We start from the raw sequence: 25,153 nt of genomic DNA, 5'->3' as shown, positions 1-25,153 counted from the left end.
CCGCCTCCACCAGACAGAGCAGGGTGAGAGTTTCGTGATCCCTAATAGGAAGAGACTACGCCCGAAGCCAGCATGAAGCAGTTACAGAAAAAAGACTATCGGTTCCTCTGCCTCCCATAAAGATTTATGGGAATGACATCTCTCAGTGGGGAATGGGCAGGAAAATAGGGTCTGGAGGCAAGGAACTTAAGGTCCATAAATAATTTAGCTATGTCAAGAAATATCCTCTCCACAAGGCGTACGCCGAGTAAATGACTTTGTAACTTTACTTCATCCTCTTCATTTACATAGGGCATACCGCAAGTAACCAATGGAATCCCCAAGAGGGTATTTAAACTCCCCAAAATTCTGTAACTGGGCCCTTGAGCCCCTATGCTCAGGCCTCCTCCCACAATGTGGAGTGTACTTTCATTTTCAATAAATCTCTTCATCCCTTCCTTGCTTTGCTTGCGCATTTTGTCCAATTCTTGTTCATGATGCCAAGAACCTGCACACCCTCCACTGGTGACACTGAAGTCCACATATCTGATGGTGGAGATTAATATCCTATTTGTCTATTGTTAATCATGATCTCTTTATATCATTTAGTAATTTTTTACAAGCTACCTTTTAATATCTTTTAGTAATTTTTCAGGAATAAGCCAGATTAGATCTATAAACTTTTGACTTTTCATCAAGAGATGTACTAAAAAAGATCAATTCTTTCTGTTTTAATTTGATAAAATTTCCAGGCAAAGCATGGATTAGATTTTTTCATTTCACATGTATATGTTCTTTTACTGACACAATTTAGCTAGATGGTGTTTACTGTCATCCTAATAATCATCACTAAGTTCACTTAGGTATTTATCTTGATTGGGTGGTTATGCTACAGCAATAAATTAGCCATAATATCTAAATTGCTTAAAAGCAACAATATACTGCTCATGATATATATTCATCTAGGCTTGGTAGTGGTAAGAGCCTTCTGTTCTACCTAGTTTCCAAAGACCTATGCGGATAGAAACTGTATTACCTGGAATGTCACAATTCACTGTGTGCCAGCTAGAAAATCATGTGGATCTCTTCTATGCTCTGTCTCAGAAGTGCTACACATCACTCTGCCCATGGTCCATAGCCCAGAACCAGGCACATACCCCTGCCTAATTGCAAGACTTGAAATACAAACGGGGTATTTGATGAGCAACATTGTCTCTGCCTGGTTTGTGGATTATTTTGCACCTATATACTTACATCCAACCCCTTTGACTAGAATTGTTACTCAAAAGCAACAGCCATATTCCAATTATAAGTACTATCCCATTGAATTTCCAGTGATAATAATGAGAAAATATCTATTTTTGTAAAAATACCAGGTCCTTAGTTCATTTGCATAATTTTGGTATATAGTGACTAAAGTTCTATATATCAACATCTCTATATCTCTATATGCACTTTGAGTGCATTCTTTCCACAATAAATCTTTACATGACATACCTCTTTCTTTTACAAAATCTAGTCTGTGTTTTGTTTGAGAATTCCTGTCTCTGATAATTCAGTTTAAAATTATTTTGCTCATATAAGAATGTTTTGTTGACTGCATTATTCTGAGTACTGCAAGATCTAATGTCTTTGGCAATGAGAATTTTAAAATCCTATTTTTAACTTTTCCACAGCCATCTGTTCACTTCTCATAAATATGTGTTCTTTCAAATTTTAACTTTCAATTGGAAATGGTGAATATTCCACATATGTTCCTAAATACTTGCAGTTACTATTCCATTGACTAATTTGCTAATCAATATCACTAGAAAGTAGTCAAGTTTTCTTTATTCATTTATTTTGTATGAATTAGCTAATGTAGCAAATGTGCATTTAGCATTAACCTCATGCCACACATTATAATGGTGTTAGTTTAATTCTCCCCAAGATACTTTTTAAAAAGTAGGAGAGTAGAAAGTAAAGTACGAATGGTTGACTGAGTACACACATCTATTTTATTATCTACTGAACTCCGATCAAACGAACAGCAATATGACTTTTTAATTAATTAACCCACAAAAGTTAAAAGAAAAAGACAAAATGATCACAATTGTGAAAGCTGGAAAGCATTTAGATGAGTAAAAATGGCTAACAGAGCCAATAGATCTTAATCATAAGTCCACAAACAGACAACTCAGAACAAAATTTCTTTTTTCTGTGAATCACGAAAATAACTAGGCAATCCTAGACCATCCTAGCCTCCTCAGGCCAAACTAAAGAGGACCAGATGAAAACCTTTTCAAGAATTTCTCCAGTATTCAAATCCCTTCATCAGTTTTGCTCAATAGGTGATTTCTTGTTCCTGATTTATTTATTTTTTTTAATTACAGGCTTATTCTATGGATTAACAAGTTAATAAAAAGTAATCATAGATTTTTCTTACAGGCAAACTCAGCAAGTTACTTTAGACAAAATAACTGTGTGGGCATATAGACATATAAATGAATACATATGAGATATACTCAGTGCTCTTCCTTCTCTGGGTTTCTTAGGTTACCAAAACACTCAAGCTAAATTTGCACTGTCCAGTAAACATATTTAAAGAGTCTTCTGGCCAGGCGCGGTGGCTCATGCCTGTAATTCCAGCACTTTCGGAGGCCAAGGCGGGCAGATCACCTGAGGTTGGGAGTTTGAGACCAGCCTGACCAACATGGAGAAACACCGTCTCTACTAAAAATACAAAATTATCTGGGCATGGTGGTGCATGCCTGTAATCCCAGCTACCTGGGAGGCTGAGGCAGGAGAATCGCTTGAACCTGGGAGGCAGAGGTTGCCGTGAGCTGAGATCACATCACACCATTGCACTCCAGCCTGGGCAACAAGAGCGAAACTCCATCTCAAAAAAAAAAAAAAAAAGAATCAGAAATCTTAGTAGCCTAAGGGAAGAGACAAAGAATAAGAAGAAGTAAAAGAAAAGGAAGAAAAAAAGAAAACAAAAGAAAAAGCCTTCGATGAAACAACCTCAACTAAAACATTCAGTTAGTTCATCCACAGTGAAGGGCATTTTCTGCACTTTCCACATATATGCTCAGCTCAGTGACATGCTCAGCTCAGTGCTTTTGACAAACTTGAGTCCTGCAGTTTTAAATGTAAACAGAAAACAAAAGAAGACTAGAAAGATTAGAAAGCTACTAATATGAAAAATTCCAACTAAAACCAAAAAACAAAGACAGAAAGAAAGAAAGGAAAAATTTGAGAAAAACAGCCACTACCTATTGAGAAAAGGAAAAAAAAAAAAAACACACACACACACAAATAAAATCTACCATGAATACATAAGAGAACAGACAGCAACCATGAAACAAGAATGAGATTCCTTGTCAAAGAAATATTCAAAAGTTTTAAAAGGTATTTTTATACATTAACATTTTGATGATATGGCTGAAAACTCAGTAAGTGTTGAAAGAAAATGCTAAGGATATTTCCCAGACATTATGGCAAAGAAACAAGCAGATGAATAGTAAATGAGGAAAGAGCAAAAAATTAGATGTCCTTATTATAAGGCCCTACATCCAAATAGCTGAACTTCCAAATAACAAAGAAAAAAAAAGGACAACATTAAGATTTGAGAAGAAAATTTTTCCAGAACTCTTGGGCATAAGTTCCACATTAAACGTAGAAAGACCCACAGTAAGGCACATCATTCTGTGATTTCTGAAAACTGCTGACAAAGAACAGTTCTTAAAGGATCCAAGGAGGGAAAATAAGTCAAAAGAAGATCAGGATCAAATGGCAATGCTCCTTTACAACACTGGACATAATTTCTGAAAGAAAATATTCCCTACCTGAAACTCTATAGTGACCTAACTTAATAATTGTGTTTGAAAAATAAAGAGATTTTAATAGGCACCCAGTCTTAAAAATACCTTTCTCATAAAGATAATTGTATGGGAAAGAAAAGAATCATATGATAAAATTATGTTTCAGAACACTTATTTTAAAAAACTAAATATATTGCCATTCTTTTACAGCCAAATTTGTATCTAACTTTTGGAGTTTTATTTTGATTTCAAGAAAATTGAAAAATAATACAGTATTAATGCAACTTTACTCTTTTGTGGGCTTTGGTTTTTCTATTTATCTTATTAGTAAACTTTTTTTTACTTCAGTGTGTGTATTATATACACTGTATATATATATATATATATATATATATATATATATGCATATTTAAACATTATCATCAACATTAAACATTATCATCTCTACAGTCCTCAAAGTTCACAAAACTCCCTCTGTATAAGAAACAGAAAAGTTCATTAATGTTTTTGTAGCAGAATCTTACTAAGTAGGTTCCAAAGTTTCTAAAAGTTTCTCCTTTGAATGCATTTCAAACACTATTTAGACAGTGTGGCAAAATATAGAACGGACTAATGGAAGCAAAGAAAGTTGATTGGATTACTAAATTGATTTTAGAAAGTGGATAATAAGACAAGAGGAAAGTAAAACACTTAATTTTCCACAATATTCCAGGATTATGAATTTTCCTTGGTTTTTCTTGTACTTGATATCAGTAATCTATGTAGAAGTAGAAAAGATTATTGAAGCTATTTGTTTAACTATCGAAAGAATTTAAGGCCAATGAGATTGATGAGTTTAGCTGTTTCTTTTTCTTCCTCTGATAATATATTAATAGCTAGCATCAGGAATGGCACTGACATACACAAAAGACAATAAATATGACTAGATAAAATAAATAATGGATGAATGAGTGAAAGACAAGACAGGAGAGGGATTAAAAGATGGTCAGGATGATGCAGAGGAGAGATTCCAGTGTGATAGCTGTGCTCAGGTACAGGCAGCAGACCACCTAGATTGCAATAAGTGAGAGAATCCTAAAAACACTTTTCATAAAGATGGGATTGGTAGAATATCTGATGCACCAGAATGCCTTGAGAAATAACATAAGAGTAGGCAGAAGTTTAGGATTAAATTAGACATACACAAACAAGAAAGCAAAATAAACTCCAAAAGAAAAATGGAATAGAAAGTAGGAAAGGAAAAAGACCTATGCTCTTATTTTTTATAGTTGTAACTCAAAAGATAATATTTCAACACTAAAATAACAAGAACTAATAATAGGAGGCGATTATCTCGAAACTTGAGTTGATTCTGAAAATAATCAGTTAGAAGAAATAGAAGCAATTGTCATTGAGAAAGAGTTACAGTTGGGTGCTATGTTTCAAAATAAACCTGTAGAAATATTAGACATGTCTGATAAAAATAAAAGCTAATAATGAAATAAAAGAGGGTTGATGAATGGCTTTGTTTGCACATACCTCCAACTTTTACCCCTGCCCCTCCCCCAGAAGGTGTCTGTATCCTCTTTCTTTGGAACCAAGACCACTAGTTATCTTTTCTCCTGAGATTCACGACATAATTCTTCCAGCTTTCTTATGATTACAAACTTTGTTATTGTTCTATCAGAACTTGAGGTGCTAGTTTTTTTTGTTTGTTTGTTTTTAATTCTGGAATCTTCCCATGGCTTGTGATGAATAATCTATACCACTCTTTGTCACTATTGTCTTTATACTTTCCCAAATTTCCATCTGTTATGCTGCTAAGGATTATCATGCACATTTTTAGGATAACATTCCTTCTAGTTTTCATCCTGAATTATTTTCTGTATCCATTCTAGAAACTTTACTTCTAACACTTTAAATTCGTTTTCTATCGAGACACACTTCCCTCCAAAGTCACCTAATTGATAGTGACAAGCAATAAAAAGGAGTAATAAAAACATAGCAAGTATCTTTCAAGTTATTGAAATTAATAGCTTGGTGAACATATTTCCCGGGGTTCGAGATTTCAAATCCTCTATCTTGGTCTTTCTCTGAAAGTTACATGCATGATATATTAAGAGTTTCTATCAGTCAATTAACCTCACATTTACATCTCTCTGTCCAAATATTCTGAATCTGTTCTCACTCTTTTAAATTGATCAATTAAGATTATTTTTCTTTCCCCAAAAAATCTTATTCTAACTCACTTTGTTCCCTAATGATTATCTAGTCAGCTGTTAATGTCCAAATCTTATAGCCACTTTTCAACCCTAACCTTTCCTGGCTTAAGCTCTCTACAGATTTTAACACTGGTAAGCATTACACTGCATAACTTCCAAGACACTGATTATTTTCCTGTTACCATGGTTATGTATTCTCAGTATTGTTGCTGGTGATTTTTCTTCTTTACTCAGTTTACATTAACCTTTATCTTTCATGAAATAATCCCACCTATCTTCACAGTTTTAACTACAACCTACATTTTATTTATACCTTTGTATCTCAAGATCAAGACTCTCCTATGAGTTCCAGGTGATTTGGCTGTCACACAGACTCTTTATTCTCATTCATCATTTTACCCAGTCTTCTATTCTGTATTAGTTCATTTACACACTGCTGATAAAGACATACCAGAAACTGGGAACAAAAAGAGGTTTAATTGGACTTACGGTTCCACATGGCTGGGGAGGGAGGCCTCAGAATCATGGCAGGAGGCAAAAGGCACTTCTTACCTGGCAGTGGCAAGAGAAAAATGAGAAAGAAGCAAAAGGAGAAACCCCTGATAAACCCATCAGCTATCATGAGACTTGCTCACTATCATGAGTAGAGCACAGGAGAGACCTGCCCCCATGATTCAATTACCTTCTGCTGGGTCCTTCCCAAAACTCCTGGGGATTCTGGGAGTTTCAATTCAAGATGAGGTTTGGGTGGGGACACAGCCAAACCATATCATCATGTTTCTGTGTTCTCTCTCCTGTTACAGAGACCCCTGGATCTGGGAGTTATTCTAGTCTGTTCACTCTTTCTCACATGCCTCATTACAGGGTTAATACATCCTATCAATACTTAATCTTGTATTTTCTCTATATCCACTCTTTTCCGTTTCTACAACAGATGATGTAGGGTCAGTCCTGATAAAGACTTGTAATTGGTATTTCAGCTCTACATCAATTAGAAGGATCCTTTAACCAAATAATTTAATCTCTTTACGTCTCAGTTTCCTTATCTGTAAAATGGAGATAACAGTAGTGTCTAAGTCCTAGAATAAAGTGTTAATAATACATGTAAAATTTCTTAGCACATTTCTTGTCACTAATTTTATTCATAAAAGGTAGATGACTAGCAAAGATCTTTGTAAAACGAAAAAGAGGAATACGAAGGACATTTGTTTATGTAACTATATGAGGCTTTCTCTCCTCACCTTGACAGTGGCCTGAGTTCCTCACATGATATTTATAATTTCCTTTTCTTTGAATAAATATTTTCTAAAGTCACTTTCTTTATAGATAGATTACCTTTAGTAATATTTTCAAATATTGTTGTTGTAACTTTTATAACAGTTGCATTCTTGCAAATTAGACTAGAAGTGAATTTCTGTCAAATAAATCTCATTTTCTCATTGAATTCTAATTTAATTCACGGATGTGTTCCTACCTTGCTGATGACAATGTGCAGTAGAAGATGCCAAGACTGCAGCTTCAGCTATCATCAGCACAAATCAGGGAGAGTCGGCGATGCAAACATCAGCTCTTCACATAACATCTTCCTTTTTGTTTTTTTCCCAGGATGCAACAGATGTGAACAGCAGGGAAACAACCTTTATGTTTCCAGCAGAATTCCATTAATCTAAGTCTTCAGGGACCACAATCCAACTTTGACACTGATTTTCTAATTCTTTTTTGGCCAGTATCTGTAATGTGTATTGCCAAAGACTGGGTATACAGGTGTGCACTGTATTAAAAAAGAATATGTTATGGGAAATTACATCTTAAGCCCCAAAGTAAAGAAATCAACTCAGAGACAGGCAAATCAACATTTAGAAAACAGACTATATTGTTCTAAATATCAGCTTAATTTTAATATCTAGTGGCTGAGGAAATAACACCTTTGTTACAATTCAGTTTTATAGTGCTGTTTACACGTTAATTATACATGGGTAAGAAAAGAGTGACAAGAAGTGTACACTCTCACCCTGTTCATGTCCATGTTAGTTTGATGTAACTTTTCCCTCAATAAGGCTTTTTTTAATGAAACTGATTTATCCTTTCAAAAATATTAGTGGAAATGGTGCTTAAATGCTCTGTAACATTTAGCAATCCCTAGAACATTTTAAGCTACTCTGGAAAAAAACAAAACAAAACAAAACAGAAATACTCAATGTTCTACCCACATGTAGGCATATGAGTTTCCCCACTGTCTCAAAGCATAGGAAATATTTCATTTTACCCCCACAGCTTCAGCTAATGCATGTAATAGAAATGGATATTAGAAATCTATTCTCATTTATTGTTATACAAATGCAAGCAGAGAAAACATTAAAAATCTGCAATGTCTGCACATTTCCTAGCACTCTTTCTTGTAGGAGAATAAGAATTATTTATGGACATTCTTGCACAGCTCTAGTATTTAAAGGACTACAAGTCATTCTTTTCCAAGAACTGCAGGTTTGAAAGTATCCTATACAGATTTCCATAAATTAACCTTCTTAAAAGTAAAGGAGGAAATGTCGGTCTTTACATGGATTAAAAAAGACTTAGATGTATGAGGTTGGCTTAAGTCTTTTATTATGCATTTCTTTATACTAAGTTACCACGTTACTTTATTTTTTAAAAAACATAGAGGCAGTTATCCTCCATAGTAGTAGAGATTAGAGACAAAAACATTCTGGCATTTCAGAATCCCTAAAAACTGGTGTTTGTGCTGGTAGTTCTTTGTTATTTGTTCCCTGCATACACAGAAACATACAAAAACAGGAATGTAACAAGGTTTTTAATAAACTTGCTTTCATTTAAAAACAATATTCTGGGGATAGGTGAATTCATATTCTTCTAATTAAAGAGTATGTTTCCAGACCCACTGGAATAAAAGGTATTTAAATTGGCATTCAGCTTCCTCAATGATTATAAACTTGCTCAATTCCTACCTAACATTCCAAATCACCAGTGGTGACTCACTTTTTTTTTTAATATTGAATTCTAGGGCTATGCAATATTATTCAAAATAAATCTGCCTAACCACTTGTTCTCAGGGACAGAAGCCATGTACTAAGGGAAAAAAATACCAGGATAAGGTAAGATAGAAGGGTAAGCCCTTCTATCTTAATTCATGCCATTGAATATTTGTGTACCAATATAATTTTCAGAGGGAAGAAACTAGAAATTTCTGTAGACTAGGATATGAAAAGATAGAACAGGTCAGTGAAATATTTGATAGTACTGGAAAGTGTGTAGTTGGAAAGAAGCAGCAATCTGGTTGAAGAAAGAGATTCTTACAATCCAGATGGCAGAAACCTATGCTGATTGCCAACACCTTTAAAGGTGTCTGGGGAGGGGTTTGGGTGTAGGTATATATTTATAGAATTAAAATCTGTTTTTCATGGCCTTTCACTAGGAGAAACCTCATTCACTGTAGATATCAACCTTCAGGGGAAACTCCATGATAAGGTATTCGAGTAAAAGGGGGACTTCTCAACCATATAATTTTTCAACTATAGGCACATCGTATTATACAGCAGAGACTTTTTACCTAGTATATGCAATACAGGTATGAAATACAGATCAATCTTTTTATGATGTAGCCCGAAATAAAAAAAGACTTGGAAAAGTTACAAAACTTATTCCAATCTGAAGCATTTTTTATGCTTTTGTTCACCAACTTCTTTTGCTTTGCCCTTTGCAAAACTCCACCCACAATTAAATCCTGTGTGAGAATATAAAGTTTTATCCCCAGCTCTTACTGCTTCCCTATAGTCAGTTACCACAATGGCCTTACGTCAAGCTAGCAGCTTACACAGACAATTATCTAAACAGGTTTCCATCTTAGCTTCTGTGGTTACACTGTAAGACAAATTGTTTGATATACCAATACTAATATTATATATGATACCATAGTTACATATAATATACCAATACTAATGAATACTACTATTTATTAACTGAAGAGGAATATAGGCTCAGTGTAAGATATGGAAGTTAGTTAGCATTTACCTATCTTCAAGGACAGTCACTTACTCATTCTGTCCCTCTATTTCCCCGTATGTAATTCATGCCCTTATTTAACAAGGGAAATGGAAATATTTGAAGATCACCTTTAGGATTAAACAAATTACTAAACACTGTACATTGATCAAAGATATGTGCAATGTAAGTTTGAAACAGAATTATGCATATTCAAAGAGCAAATAAACATATATTTGAAGAGTGTCTGAAATCAGATTTGACATTTGCAGAACTAAAGTAAACATAGGTGAAGTTTCAGTGTGTTTGCCTCTAGAATGAACACATTGGATTTGATATCTTAGTACAATTTCAGCTTTAACTTTCCATAATTCTTTGATTGTGTATTTTTTAAAAAGAAAAAAATGATAAGCAAAGAGTAATAATAAAAACCTAGAATCACTATTTCATTTGTTGTTAATCTTTTGCAAGTAAAGTTTCAGATGTAGTTCATAATTGGACATTTTAATTGCTTACTCCATATTATTAATTTCAACCATTATTGTTAAGAAATTGGACTTTACTAAGCAATGATTCCACTAATTATTTGTAGTCCAGAGCCTCACTTTCTTCTCACAAATACTTGTATTGATTTATATTCAAGCTTTCCAATAGAGAACATTCTGAGCTAAACGAGTTCTATGTTTGGCTAAATAATTCATATACATGCCTTTATTATTATAAGACTCCTTTGCCAAGCTAGTTCCTTCCTGAATAGTCTATGTTTTCATATTGTCTTGGCATCAATACGATGTTGCCTTGTTATGTTTTTCAATCACACTGAGATAAGTGGCTCCATATAAAATGAATTCATAGATGGTGCTCTAAAAATCTCAAGTGATAAATCAAATTAATACAAATAAGCTTACTCATCTAAGAGAAAATAAGAAAATAATGAATTCTTTTTTTCATCCTGCGTTGTGTTGGTCACTACTGCTTCCTCTGTTAAGTGAATTTAACATAATCAGATTTGTAAAGGATGTCAATTTGTGCAGACTACTTTGTGTCTTTCATATCAATAAAAACCTATGATAAGCAAAATATTGTAAAACCAGAAAATATAGTCAGAATAACTTAAAATAGTATAAAAATCAAATAGAGCCAGAATAACTATAAAACTAATTATGCTGGATATTCCTTGAGCTGGGAGTCCTATGAATACATGAATGGACAAAATAGTAATAGAATTGTTACTCCTTAGGAGATAAATTCTTAGGAATGTACAAATATAATAACAAATCTTTGCTAAGCATTTACAAAACTAATCATAGTTGCACCTCTCTAGGAATTAAGGAGGCATCTTTAGTAAAAATCTAAATTTAAAAGTACTGGAATTGAAGCCATTTTCAGGTGGTGTCACCACCCTTAAATTAAAAATTAGAGGCAGGGCAGACAAAGTTACATAGTTAATGAGACAGATGACTGTGAACAATGCTCATAGTTATTTGAAATAACTAGAAGTAATGTAATATACAATAGCTGAAATGGGAGATAACGTAGTCACAAAGGACAAACATCAGTGAACAGATTAGGATTAAGAATGCATCATGATAATCTCATTCTGAAATCATAGACTGTGCTAGAAAAGCTGTTTCTGTTTAGTTTTTTTTTTTGAGTTCTTGAGTCTAAAATACATATGTTCCTCTTCATATATCTCAGTAGTAGACTTTGGCCTTTGGTCTGGGCCTCAGCTGAGTGTTGGAATGAGTTATTAGAGGAGTTGAAGATGGTGTGTTTGACTGATGAGGCAATTTGCCCTTTCTATATCCACAAAAGCCTTCTTGAATCTAACCTTCTGTCCTGAAAAGAAAGGCAACAAAATCTCTGAAATGTGACATTTTCCAAATAGGAGAATATGAGAAACCCAATTACCAACTTATTCATTCACTCTTTCACTCTTTTTACCACTCTCTTCTTTATAGTCACTAAAATCAGAGGTTTTGTTATAGTCTCAACAGACCAGCCAGTTACTAATTGTATCCATTCTCTATTCATGTTTTATAAGGCAGATTTCTTCAAATTTCCATCTAGCCTATGTACAAACCAGTTGCATTTGATCTACACTTTTAAATTATAAAATTCTCTACTGTGCTAAATTTCGGAGGGAAATGAAGCAGCAAAAGAGAATAGTTTGTGGTCAAAGAGTTTGCAGGGTGAATATAATTTGCCCCAAGTGAAACTAGAATGAATATCCATGAGATGCTCCTCAGTCTTTCTTTTTAGCTCTGCCTCTGACAAACGCAGATAGTATAGTGTGAACACGTTTATTTTCCACGTGACCTGGTCAGATACTTGGTAATGGCAGTAGCTGACATTTCTCAGGGAAAAATCTAACAACTTAACTTTAATTGAGTGCACTGCAAGATAGCCACCAACATAATTTTATTTTTCAAATATTTCCCAGGATGGGAGAAATGCTCATAGACCTGACAAGCATAGTGATTGCTTTTCCTCTGGGTAATAAAACCAGCTCTATTTCTCTCATTTTGCCTGTAGTTCCTAAATGTAAAAGAAAAGCAATTATCACATGAAATGTACGCCTAAGGTTCTCTTCCTGCATTAGTCAGTAGGCATCTATTTCTCTTTCAATTCAGGATCTTTTGGAAGAAAAGAAAATTTCAGGCCATGTAAGATATGTGCCCAGAATATCTGTGAGATTGGGTGGGTTTCTTTTTAATCTACTTAATTTACTCTAATAGAGACAGGAGTCAGTTTTTTTCTAATTATAGCAAAAGACAGTCCCCCACACCTGTTATTTAAAAAGAAAAAAAAAATCTTGGAAACAAGAAAAGTTGTCAGTACGTCAGTTACCTTCTAATAGATATTTTCTTTCATATTTTGAAGCTTTCAATTAAAACAAGCGTTTGAGACAGGTAATTAACTGATTTGAGGATTATATAAAAATTTCTTGGTTTAAAAAAGGGATATGTATTACTTAAAATTATTTCAAACATGTTTCTCTTTCCTTTAAGCAGAGCATTTAACAGTGTATCACTATTTTCTAAATAATATACATGAGCAATAAAACAAAAAATGAAAGAAAATTACAACTTAGGTTTTAGATATTTCTAGACTAAATATCAGGCTGAAAATTAAAAATAGATACCTCAAATATTTGGGGGGAATTAATGGGTTGGATCAGTTAGCAAAATATTTGGTTTAAACTTTGGTATAACCTATCAAAAACTCAAATTTTCACCCACATTTAGCTGGCCAATTTAGTTGGATCTAGTACAGATTTCGAATCTTCAGCACCAAAAACGAGGACAGGTGAAAAAGCTTCTCAATAAACATAAGTTTAATGAATAAATAAAAAGGCTAATTAATTTTTAAAGTGTTCATGCAACATTTATTCAAATATCTGCACACACTCAAGTATATAACTGTATATACATCAGTAACTGTGCTAAATGCAGAGAAAACAAGATACACATTGTTGGCCAGACCCAGTGGCTCATGCCTGTAATCCCAGCACTTTGAGAGGCTGAGGCATGCAGATCACTTGAGGCCAGGAGTTCGAGACCAGCCTGGCCAACATAGTGAAACCCCGTCTCTACTAAAAATAAAAATATTGGTCAGGTGTGGTGATGCACGCCTGTAGTCCCAGTTACTCAGAAGGCTGAGGCATAAGAATTGCTTGAATTTGGGAGGCAGAGGTTGCAGTGAGCTGGGATCACACCATTGCACTCCAGCCCGGGCAACAGAGCAAGACTCCATCTTAAAAAAAAAAGGAAAAGAACAAAGAAAAAAAATATATACATTGTCTTTGGTGTTGTGGAAATTATATTCTAATAAAGATGGAAAATTATATGCAGATACATTTTGAAATGACCCAAAAGTCACAAGTTTCAATAAGTTTAGTAAAAGCAATAAATGGGAGTGGTGAGCTGATTAGATGCTTTGCTTAGAGTTAGGGAAGCATTTCTCAGGACGTGACCTCTAAGCTGAGATCTCAAGCTCAAGATGGACCCAGCCATATTATGAGCTGACAGGAAGAAAAGTAAAAGAAAGAAGAAAAGAACAAAATGAAGGAAAGGAAAGAAGGAAGGGAGGGAGGAAGGAAAGAATGAGTGTGGGATGGAGAGAGAAAGAAAGGAAAGAAGGGAGTGAGGAAGGAGAAAGGGAGAAAAGGGAAAAAGAGAAAAAAGACATCAGAAATACTTGCTAAGCCTGAAATATTGTTTCCCTAGAATTATTCTGTCCTAGCAATCTTTTTGTGCAATGATCATAAGGCTGAAAACTGGTAAGCAGTCAGAAAATGAAAGGTTAAAAAAAAACCGTATTGACAAATAAAAATATATTCAACTGTGAAAAGTAAAAATGAATACATGGAACATGGATCCCAGCAAACATTATGGAATTCATTTCTGAATATATTTTATGTACAAGAAAAACTAATCACTGGTAAGTAGCATATGTTCATATAATAAGTGTTGCCAGATTTAACTATTTTCCTATCTTGATGATGTTGTAAAATTGCTAAGGACAATTTCCAAATATTTCCACATTCAAACTCCTGCGATGGCATCCTTGTGCATACCTGGGGGAACTATGGTGTTAGGGAACAGTAAGGATATATAGATATATAATTGTCAATTAGTAATAATATCAAGAGGTTATCTCCAGCAATGTGCTATAAAACTCTGTGCCCCTGTCTACAGGATTAAGAAAGAAACATAGATGATGATATAGACATAATTGGTAGAGCATCTATGATATCTGGAAGGAAAATAGAGCATTATTAGAAAGAAAGAATTTTTTTTTAAATCAAGATACTAACCTATTATCTACTTTTGTATAACTTTTATATTTGGTCCACTTTGGATCCTTTGAAGCTATAAAGAATACTTTCAACATTTCTTTTATGTTACATCCCTTCAAACATTTGAAGAGAGTTATATTCATATTCACTCTCTTCTGATGTATTATGCACACACACACGTGTGTGTATATATATGAAGTGTGCATATGCATATATTGTGTATATATGAAGATATATATCTTCATACATCTGTGTGTGACTATGCAAAGGGTATATATGTGCAATATACACATAAGTACATATAAGATACATCTCTATATAGATTTTATATATATATGTTATATATCTAGATTTTATATAATATAGATTTTATAGATAATATATAGATTTTATAGATAATGTATAGATTTTATGTATATTATATATAGATTTTACATATATATTATATATATAAATATATATAAAATCTTCAGCTCTTGCTCTTACTCTTCACCATCTTGGTTAAGTTTCCCTACACATATTTCAGCTTATCAGCATGCAGTTTAAAGTGTGGTACCAAGAAATGAGCACAGTATGTTCATTCCAAGGATGAGAGGGGCTACCTCAGAAGATAGCCGAGTTCCACAATATTCCAAACCTGTAGCTGGATGGTGACTTGGAGCTCACTCAGGAAGAGGAATCTCATTCAGTTGACACTGATCCTTAAGGCCGCTAGTATGTTAAACTTCATCCATCAACAATTGTTTAAAGAACTTAAAAATTTCATGTACATATGGTGAAACTAAGTATTGTATAATATTTTATTAATAATTTTGGCAGACAAGTGCTATTTTGGATCTACAGGTATAGAATACATTAGGAAAGAAAATCAGAATAAACAAAGAAACTTCTCTCAATCATCTCTATCAAAAACTACTTACATTGACTATTTGATCAGGGTGACTAAGTCTGTTTACGGGTTTGACAGAGCAGTTAAAACAATTTTTTTAATGTTACTGAACTATTTCTATCTAAGATGAAATACTAGATCTCCAAAAAAATTAACACTAAGAAAATGTGACTTTTATATAGAAATAGGTTATGTATGTTGAGTTTACTGTTTCAGTTTTTCTTTACCTTGATTCCTCTTCTTTGAATTATGGTTTTTTTCTATTGTCATCCTCTACTTAGTTTACATTTGCACTTATACCTTATCTTTCATCAGCGAAGGAATAAAGATACGAAAAACATGAATGATTCTATGTACAACTGAATGAACAAAATGAGCATTTGGTGATCACACGAGTTCTTTGAGACATGAAGTTCAAGACAAACAGAGTTGGAATTTCACTAAGCAATTCTTGCAAACTGGATATTGCTAAAGTCAATTTAACTTGTGATAGTTAATAGACAGTCTTGGAATCATATATTAAGGTTGCTAGTGGAAACTAGAAGGTCAAAGGAACAGAAAACATACATGATTATGCTTCTGTATGTGCTCAACACACACTCTCAAGAACCATAGATTTTAAAAGTTCCTAAAATTCTGAGAAAAAATGAGGAAGCATTCTAATAATCATCTTAAGAATTGCAAAATAATTTTCTACTGTGGGTACTTGAGAATGACTGTGAATTGTTTGAACAGAACACTGATTATACGATAGTTCTCATACGAATAATAATTGAAAACAGCCCAAGAATAATGCAGTTTGTCGATTAGAAAGTCAAATATATACCATGCATTTTACATACATAACTTCTTTTACTCAAACACCATTTTTATAGGGAACAAAGCTGATAGCATTTATTATTATTATTACTTGAAAAGTCAGCCCTCACACACTCAAATGCTTCCAAGAGTAAACACTACCCACTGTAAATAGAAGAAGTAAATAAAATTTGCTTTGCATTTCTTCATCAAAAAAAATATTTCTGAGTTTTTGATATATCTTACTCCACATTTCTCTCTCTAGGTTTGCAGAATTTATAATTCTTGTGTATTTGTAAATAAATGTGCATAGGTATATATTTGCAAATATACACATATGCTTTTTCAAAGTATTTTTAAAATAGAGTTTTTATTTATTTATTTTTATAAATAGAGTGTTTATTTGGGCCACATTTGAGGATTGCAAGCCGGGAGCATAGGTTTAAGTTGCCCTGAACATACTCTCCCTCAATGTTTTTTAATATAATAGACTCAAACCATATATACTCCTTAGTGTTTTTTAAAAATAAAAACTTTTTTGCACATCTTCTAAATTAGTATGTACATGTAGATTCATTCCTTTTAATGAGAATAGTACATTGCATGGGTGCACCATGTTTTGTTCAACCATAATTTAAGCAAGTTCTGATTTGTATTTAAAGCAATACTGCAATGATGTTGTAAAATATATATTTCTATATTTTATTTTTGTATTATCAATTTTATAAGACAGTTTGTTAGTATTGTTAGTCATAAAGTTTGAACATTTTTATAGATTAAAAATTGCCTTTTAAAATATTGTCTCTCTATATATTCTTACCAAATCAATATTGGAATAGCTTTTTCTTTCTACACCTTTACAAATAAACACCATTAAGTTTTTCTTTAATGAACATTTTTATTAATAAACTTTTATTTTTGTCTATTTGTTAGACAAACAAAAGTGACAACTAATCATTGCTTTTATTTAGATTTCAGAGAAATCATTAATATTATGTATTCTCAACAGGTGATATGTGAATCTCAATTTATAGGTACAGGTTCTATGTATAAATACAGAAAAGAAGACAATGGGATTTGTCCTGAGGATAGGATTTTTGACTGACATTTCAACAAAAGGTGGTGTGATTACAAAACTGGTGAAAAACAAAAACAACAGTTCATCTGGCCTTTTCTATTGCAGGAATTCTTAGGATCTTTCCCATTTACTACTCTTTAAGAGTGGTAGATCTAGATCTTAAAACACCAATGTATGTAGATTTCGATCTTTCCTACACCTCCCATACCATAAATATCGTTATTTACCCTTGAGATGTTTACAATTTAATGAAGAAAGTAAGCCTCATGTGTAAAACATAAACTTAAAAAAATTTAAACCACTCTGGATGACATTGAATAGAGTATGTAGATATGGAAGAAGTAAATTAGGAGAAAGTTTGATGAGTGGCAAAGCCCTAAATTAACAGGGAAACTAAGGATTTGTTTTTGTTTTCAAATTACAGAAAGCACTTTAAGATCTTCAGGATTATTCCTGTTATCATAGATGGCATTATTAAAAATAAGAAAATTGTGCAATCATCAGCAAGTAAGCTAAACTCATTGTGGTTAGTAAATTAGGAAAGATAAGAAAGCAAAGTTTACCACACAAATAGAAACTGATAAAAGAAAGAAAACAATCACTTTTCCCTAATATTAGTCTCCAACAAAGAGTGCAAAAGAAAAGCATTAAAGATATGTGCAGCTTTAGGATTGCAACCATACTAACCATGCACTCTATCTCTGTTGCCGTTCTGCTGGCAGAACTTGACCTTAAGAATCTTCACCTTTTAGAGATAATAAAAATGATTTATTTATATGTAATTAAAAATCAGAAAAAACTTATGAGTTTCACACAAATAGTTTGTATTTTCAGAAAATTAAGGTTGTTTTAAAATATGTTATCTTGTAAAGATTATGAAAAAATGTATATTTATTAGTATAATACTTTAATTATCCTAGTTGCTTATTTGGTGGGGAATGTAAGCACTCAAAAGCCAAAGCATGTGTAATATGTCCATATATGGACATAAACACACACATACATACACACCTAGTTTTAGCCACTGAATCTCTCATCATCTTGATCCCTAATATATACCCACAAAGTAGTCACGTTTATATACGGAGGGAATTTTAGCTCTATTTCAAAACTGAAGTCTCCTTGCTCATAATCTGGCCCTGAATTTATGCTCTGGGAACACAGTAACTGAAAAAATGTCCTTCTGGCATCTCAGGATCTTGTTCCTGAATACCTGACTTAACCTACCAAATACTATACCAATTCCTTTTGGAACTGAGTGTTTGTCCTTTGAACAAGGTCATTCAAGTATCGGAGTCTTGCATCTAAATCCCAGTTCTGTGGCCAAAACTTGGTATTCCTAAATATTCTTAATCTTTACCACTTGCCATGAAACTTTTTTAAATGTTTAACAATTTATGAGGTACATGTGACATTCTGTTACATGTATATGATGTGTAGTGATCAAGTCAGGGTATTTAGGTGTTTATTGCCCAAACATAATACATTTTTATTAACTATAGTCACTCTGCTATCAAACACAATGTATTTCTTCTGTCTTACTGTATGTTTGTACCATTTATTGCAGTTGCCTCCATTCTCTCACCCACCACTCACCCTGCTCAGTCTGTTATCTATTTTTCCACTGTCTCCATGTAATAAATTGTTTTACCTCCTACATATGAGCGAGAACCTACAATATTATTCTTTTTGTGTCTGACTTATTTCACTTAGTGACCTCTAGCTCCATCCACGTTGCTGCAAATAACATGACTTCTTTTTTTTTATGGTTGAATAGTATGCCATAGTGTATATATACCACATTTTCTTTATCCTCCATTTATGGCCACTTAGGTTGATTTCTTATCATTGCTATTGTGAATTGTGTGGCAATAACCATGCAAGGGCAGGTATCCCTTTGATATATTGATTTATTTTCTTTTGGATAGATAAGAAAAGTGACATTACTGGATCAAGTAGTAATACTATTTTTAGGTTTTCTGGAAATCTCCATGCTGTTTTCTATAGTGGCTGTACTAGTTCACATTCCTACTGACAGTATATGAGTTCCCTTTTCTCCACACTCTCACCAAAATCTGTTTTGTGTGTGTGTGTGTGTGTTTTTAGTAGTAGCCATTCTGACTGGGGTAAGATGGTATCTCATTCTGCTATGAGATTCTTAATGGCCTCTTATTTGCTTATCACCAATAGCCAAGGTGAAAAACAAAATCATATGGATTTTGAGCATTTTAAATGTAAGAAATTTAAGCAAAGATTATTACGTAAACTCATGCTTTTACATTATCAATACAAGCTTTTCTTTTCTAACTTTTTGGAGAGGTAGACTGCTTTAAAAGGGGGTACAGTTTAAAGTCAAAGTAACAGATAATGCTTTGTTTCAGTATTCGAAGCAAAGGCACTTAAGAAGCTTCAGTCTGACTTCTCAAAAGAAGACATTTATGCAGCCAAAAGACACATGAAAAAATGCTCATCATCACTGGCCATCAGAGAAATGCAAATCAAAACCACAATGAGATACCATCTCACACCAGTTAGAACGGCAATCACTAAAAAGTCAGGAAACAACAGGTGCTGGAGAGGATGTGGAGAAATAGGAAAACTTTTACACTGTTGGTGGGACTGTAAACTAGTTCAAACATTGTGGAAGTCAGTGTGGCCATTTCTCAGGGATCCAGAACTAGAAATACCATTTGACCCAGCCATCCCATTACTGGGTATATACCCAAAGGACTATAAATCATGCTGCTATAAAGACACATGCACACGTATGTTTATTGCGGCACTATTCACAATAGCAAAGACTTGGAACCAATCCAAATGTCCAACAATGATAGACTGCATTAAGAAAATGTGGCACATATACATCATGGAATACTATGCAGCCATAAAAAATGATGAGTTCATGTCCTTTGTAGGGACATGGATGAAATTGGAAATCATCATTCTCAGTAAACTATTGCAAGGACAAAAAACCAAACACCGCATGTTCTCATTCATAGATGGGAATTGAACAATGAGAACACATGGACACAGGAAGGGGAACATCACACTCTGGGGACTGTTGTGGGGTGGGGGGAGGGGGGAGGGATAGCATTAGGAGATATACCTAATGCTAAATGACGAGTTAATGGGTGCAGCACACCAGCATGGCACATGTATACATATGTAACAAACCTGCACATTGTGCACATGTACCCTAAAACTTAAAGTATAATAAACACACACACACACTCACACAAAAGAAGCTTCAATCTGTCAGAGCTGCTATAAAAATTGATAAAGTCCTTGTGGACAGTTCTATCTCGTGATTTCCACGGAGAACATGAAGCCATGGAGCCACAGAAGTCCCATGATTGCCAGCTCTAGGAGAGAAGGTTCAACACTTCCTTCTCTCATCTCTGTGTACACCTGCCCTTTGTATGTTATTCTAGGGAAAACTTCATGGATTTTCCTGGTGCACTACTACTCACCTGTGGGACCAGAAAGACACTTTTCTAGAAAGATACAGATTAATGTCAAGCTAATAAGGCAACAGTAAAAGCTTTGTTGTGTGGACTTAAACCTAGAGTAAATACGAAAACAAGATAAAGAAGACAGTGGGTGTAGGGAGAGAAAAGTGAGTTGGCGTTCACATGTGATTAGCCAAGAAGCCAGGTAAGGACCACGTAGAGAGATGTAGGTTTATATTCACCATGAACTCTGTACTGATCTCTCCCTCAAAATGAGCCAGAGTGTGCTTAAAACAAGAGAACTAAATAGAAGGAACATATTCTAAACTTGCATAATACAAAGCACATGAGATAGGTGTCCATATAGATTTTAATTCCACTTTGCCCAAAGTATTTCATTTCAAATGGCTAACGTAGGCACATCTTTTATTTTCAACACTACTTCATTTATTGTAGGCAGTCTAACAACTGTCAGGTATGTTAGAAATAGTGCTAATGTGGGCAAACACTAGAAAATCTTTAAAGCTTAACAAGAGGAAAACTTTATAGCGTGTGAAAAAAAATCCTATTGCATTCATATCTTCATTTTTCCCTTGGTGATTTTTATGTTAGAATGACTGCTGTGATTTTAATACTGACACATTCAGTTCATCCAAACCTAGGAGAGACAGTGATTAGAGTTTTAAAATAATATAAAAGATATTTTATTAGAAAGATTTAAGATTGTCAGGAAATCTTTAAGTTGCAGCCATTTTACTCTCCAAAGCTTTATATTCAATGCATCTTTTTATGCAAATGCAATTTATTGATAGATTTGTAAAGAAACACATAATTTATTATTTTTCATTATGTTTTTCCTGAGTTTGGCCAGTAACTATATACAAATGCTAATTTTTTCAACCTCATAAATAGTCCCTCACAAAATTCCAGTAGAGTAGGTGGGAGAGGAGGAAAGAGAACACACAGGTTTTATTTTTTGTTTGTTTTTAATCATATGCAAAATATTTCAGAGTGAAAACATCATAAATAAAGGATGCTACTGGAGAAATGTAGATGCACACATACCCAAAGTACATTTTTGAGAACTTGTTGTCCTAGTCCTTTCAGCCTCCTATAACAACATTCCATAAATTTTGTGGATTATAAGCAAGAGAAACTTATTTCTCATAGTTCTGGGCTTGGGAAGTCCAAGATCAAGGTGCTGGCAGATTAGGTGTCTGGGGACGACTTACTTCCTGGTTCAAGGATGGCATCTTCTTGCTGTCTTCACGTGATGGAAGGGACCAGCTAGCTCTCTGGAGGCTCCTTTATAATGTTACTATCCCTACCATAAGAGTTCCACCTTAAGGGTGTTTTTTGTTTGTTTGTTTGTTTGTTTGAAATGGAGTTTCACTCTTGTTGCTAAGGCTGGAGTGCAATGGTGCAATCTCAGCTCAGCGCCACCTCCGCCTCCCGGGAAGCTGGGATTACAGGCATGTGCCACCACGCCTGGCTAATTTTGTATTTTTAGTAGAGACAGGGTTTCTCCCTGTCGGTCAGGCTGGTCTCAAACTCCCGACCTCAGGTGATCCGCCTGCCTTAGCCTCCCAAAGTGCTGTGATTACAGGCGTGAGCCACCACGCCCAGCCTAATGGCGTAATCATCACCCAAAGGCATCACCTCCTAATGCTATTAACTTGGGGATTCAGATTTTAACATATGGATTTTGGAGCTACACCAACATTCAGACCTTAACCCGTGTGATGAATAGAGGTGCTTGAGGAAGAAACAGTGAATGGTGCAATATGTAAAAGTTGCCTCTGACTTTCAAGAATGTATATTCCCATAAATTTAGAAATAATATCGGTTTTTAAAGAATTTATAAACTAATCAGAGTATTAAATTTAACAAAAGCATATAAAGTTACAGGAAAATAACAGTTTAGTTCAGTGTAGTAGAAAGGATATTTGCTGTAGAAATTCAAAAATTATTTGGTTGGAAGAGGAGACTTCACAGAGATGAGGCTTGACTTGGCTGGAAGAATGTTTAACATACGGAAAGGCTGATGTCAAGAGCAAGAAACTTTCTTCAGACTGGTCAGTGGGGGTGAAAGTACATAAGCCCAAACTCAGAAATGGACACAAGGGAATTCCAGTGTTGTAACTGAAAGATGAATAAGTGGAGCTAGTGGAAAATGAGGCTGAATTAGTGGAGCATGTATCAGCTTGTTATTATGTTCAGATGCATGTAACAGAGACTCAACTGAAGTGGCTTAACTAAAGAATACATTGTTTTTCTCACAAATCAAGGATCCTGAAAGTAGACAACTCAGAGATGCCATGACAGCTTTTTAAAGCAGCATGAGCTCCTGTGTCCTTCTGTCTTTCTGCTCTGCCAGTCTTCTTACATCTTCAGCACTGTTGGTTACAGCAAAGTTCCTGCACGCAAGTGCTCCAAGTAGATGAAGGGCAAAAAGAAACCTACATTTCCTGAAAGCTCCATGCAATAAACTCATCTGTCTCTCACTAGCCAAAATCATGTCACATGGCCCCTTTCACATGCAAGGGACTTGGGAAATCATGTTCTGTTTTATTTTACTTTGAACTGACTACATTGGCAGACTTATACATCACAGAAGAAAGAATAAAGGAAAAGTGTATATTGCAAAAGTAACTTGCAGTATTTGCTTCCAAAAGAAGTTTCAATACAAAAAACAATAGATGCAATGTGATAGTAATAATGGACTATTACAAGTTCCTTAACAAGGCAATTTGGAAGAGAAGTAATGGGTCATAAAACTGAGTTGGCAGCAGTGATATGAATAGAGAAAGGCAATCATGGAAGGAGGGAGGAGAATGACCGGCAACAATGCTGCAGTCTCATGTATAATGTAAGAACCTATTCTTGTGTGCTGATAATAGAAACATAGACACAGTAGTGGAGATATTCCCATGGAAGTAGCTAGTGAACACAATGCCATTTTACACAGGTGTTAAACGATAGGGAGAAGCAAAGATCATGCATGTTCCAACCTGTAAAGTTTTAAAACAATATTTCTAAAACCAGTTTTCTGATTAGAAAACTAAAACACAGGAAAGGTCAGAGATGTGTTCAAGGTCACAAAGCATCAGTGACAGCTTTGACCAAACTATTTGCATATAAATGTATGCATGCATATTTTAATAAGAATGCATATTTTATACATTAAGAATATTCCCATTCATTGCAATGCATAAAGATTAGGAATCTAGGGTCTCATATCTTTAGTTGTTTTTATTAATATGTCTTATATTACAAAATTTTTACAGCATACTTTTGTTACTATAAGGACGTTGCTGGAAATTGCATATATAGCCTGTAGAAAGAAAACATAAACAAGAAAAGATGTGTAGAATTCTTGTAAAAGATTAGAAAGTGAAGAAAATTACTCTCTACTGATACAGATTTTGAACTTTTCATTTGGATATTTGTCATAGAAAAGTTACTATAAGCAGATACATTGTTATAGAATAATTATTTTTAAAGTCTTGGTGTTGACTGTTTGACAAAAAGCCATTCACACTTACAATATTTTTATACCAAAGTTTTACCTGTATTCACCAGCTCTATAGTGCTCACCCCGTCTCTAAAACCCTCCAGATCCATTTACTCCAAAGAGAGAAGGCATTTCACAGATGAGGTATCTGGCTAGCTATCTATATTTTCCTGCTACAGAATCTAACATAGGAAAGGATCACTGATTTCCCATCTTCCCAAACCTCTGTTCCAACAACATATTCATCAAAACAGACCTCTGCTATGTCCCAATTCTAAAGTCTTTGTTTTGTTCTTGACAATAGGTCAATAAATTTGAGTTAATACATGTAATTTCAGTAACGATTTAATATATCCTGTCTCTAGGCAGTATTTTCCTTTTAATCATATTTTTAATCAAATAAATAAAATGGGCTTTCAGACTTAGGAACGTAGCAATTGCACATGTATTCAGGTTCAATCGCAAATTACATATTATTCATTTACACAATAAACATTTCTAGATTATCTACTATATACCAGATATTAATTCTAAGAAAAATGCACAAGGTCCCTACTTACCCTCATGAAACTTAAAGTTTGGTGGGAGATTAAATGTTAACTACACAAAGAAATACAAAATTCCAAACTGTTCTAAATTCTATAA

The 25,153-nt window shown here is 34.1% G+C and overlaps 1 long non-coding RNA gene across 2 annotated transcripts in view; it reads right to left on the bottom strand.

Annotated features, from left to right (window-relative positions):
• Positions 1-6,441: 6,441 nt before the first annotated feature.
• Positions 6,442-25,153, bottom strand: part of LOC105370420 (uncharacterized) — a 129,914-nt gene continuing 111,202 nt past the window's right edge. For both annotated transcript variants that reach the window (XR_943662.3, XR_001750686.2), the window contains 2 exons: positions 7,458-7,754; positions 6,442-6,535 (listed from right to left, as the gene is read on the bottom strand). This is a non-coding gene — a long non-coding RNA (uncharacterized LOC105370420). The remainder of the gene's footprint in view (positions 6,536-7,457; positions 7,755-25,153) is intronic.

Source organism: Homo sapiens, chromosome 14 (genome assembly GCF_000001405.40).
Source record: "Homo sapiens chromosome 14, GRCh38.p14 Primary Assembly".
Taxonomy (NCBI): Eukaryota; Metazoa; Chordata; class Mammalia; order Primates; family Hominidae; genus Homo; species Homo sapiens.
The sequence above is the reverse complement of the archived record's forward strand: the minus strand, read 5'-3'. Positions and strand labels throughout refer to the sequence as shown.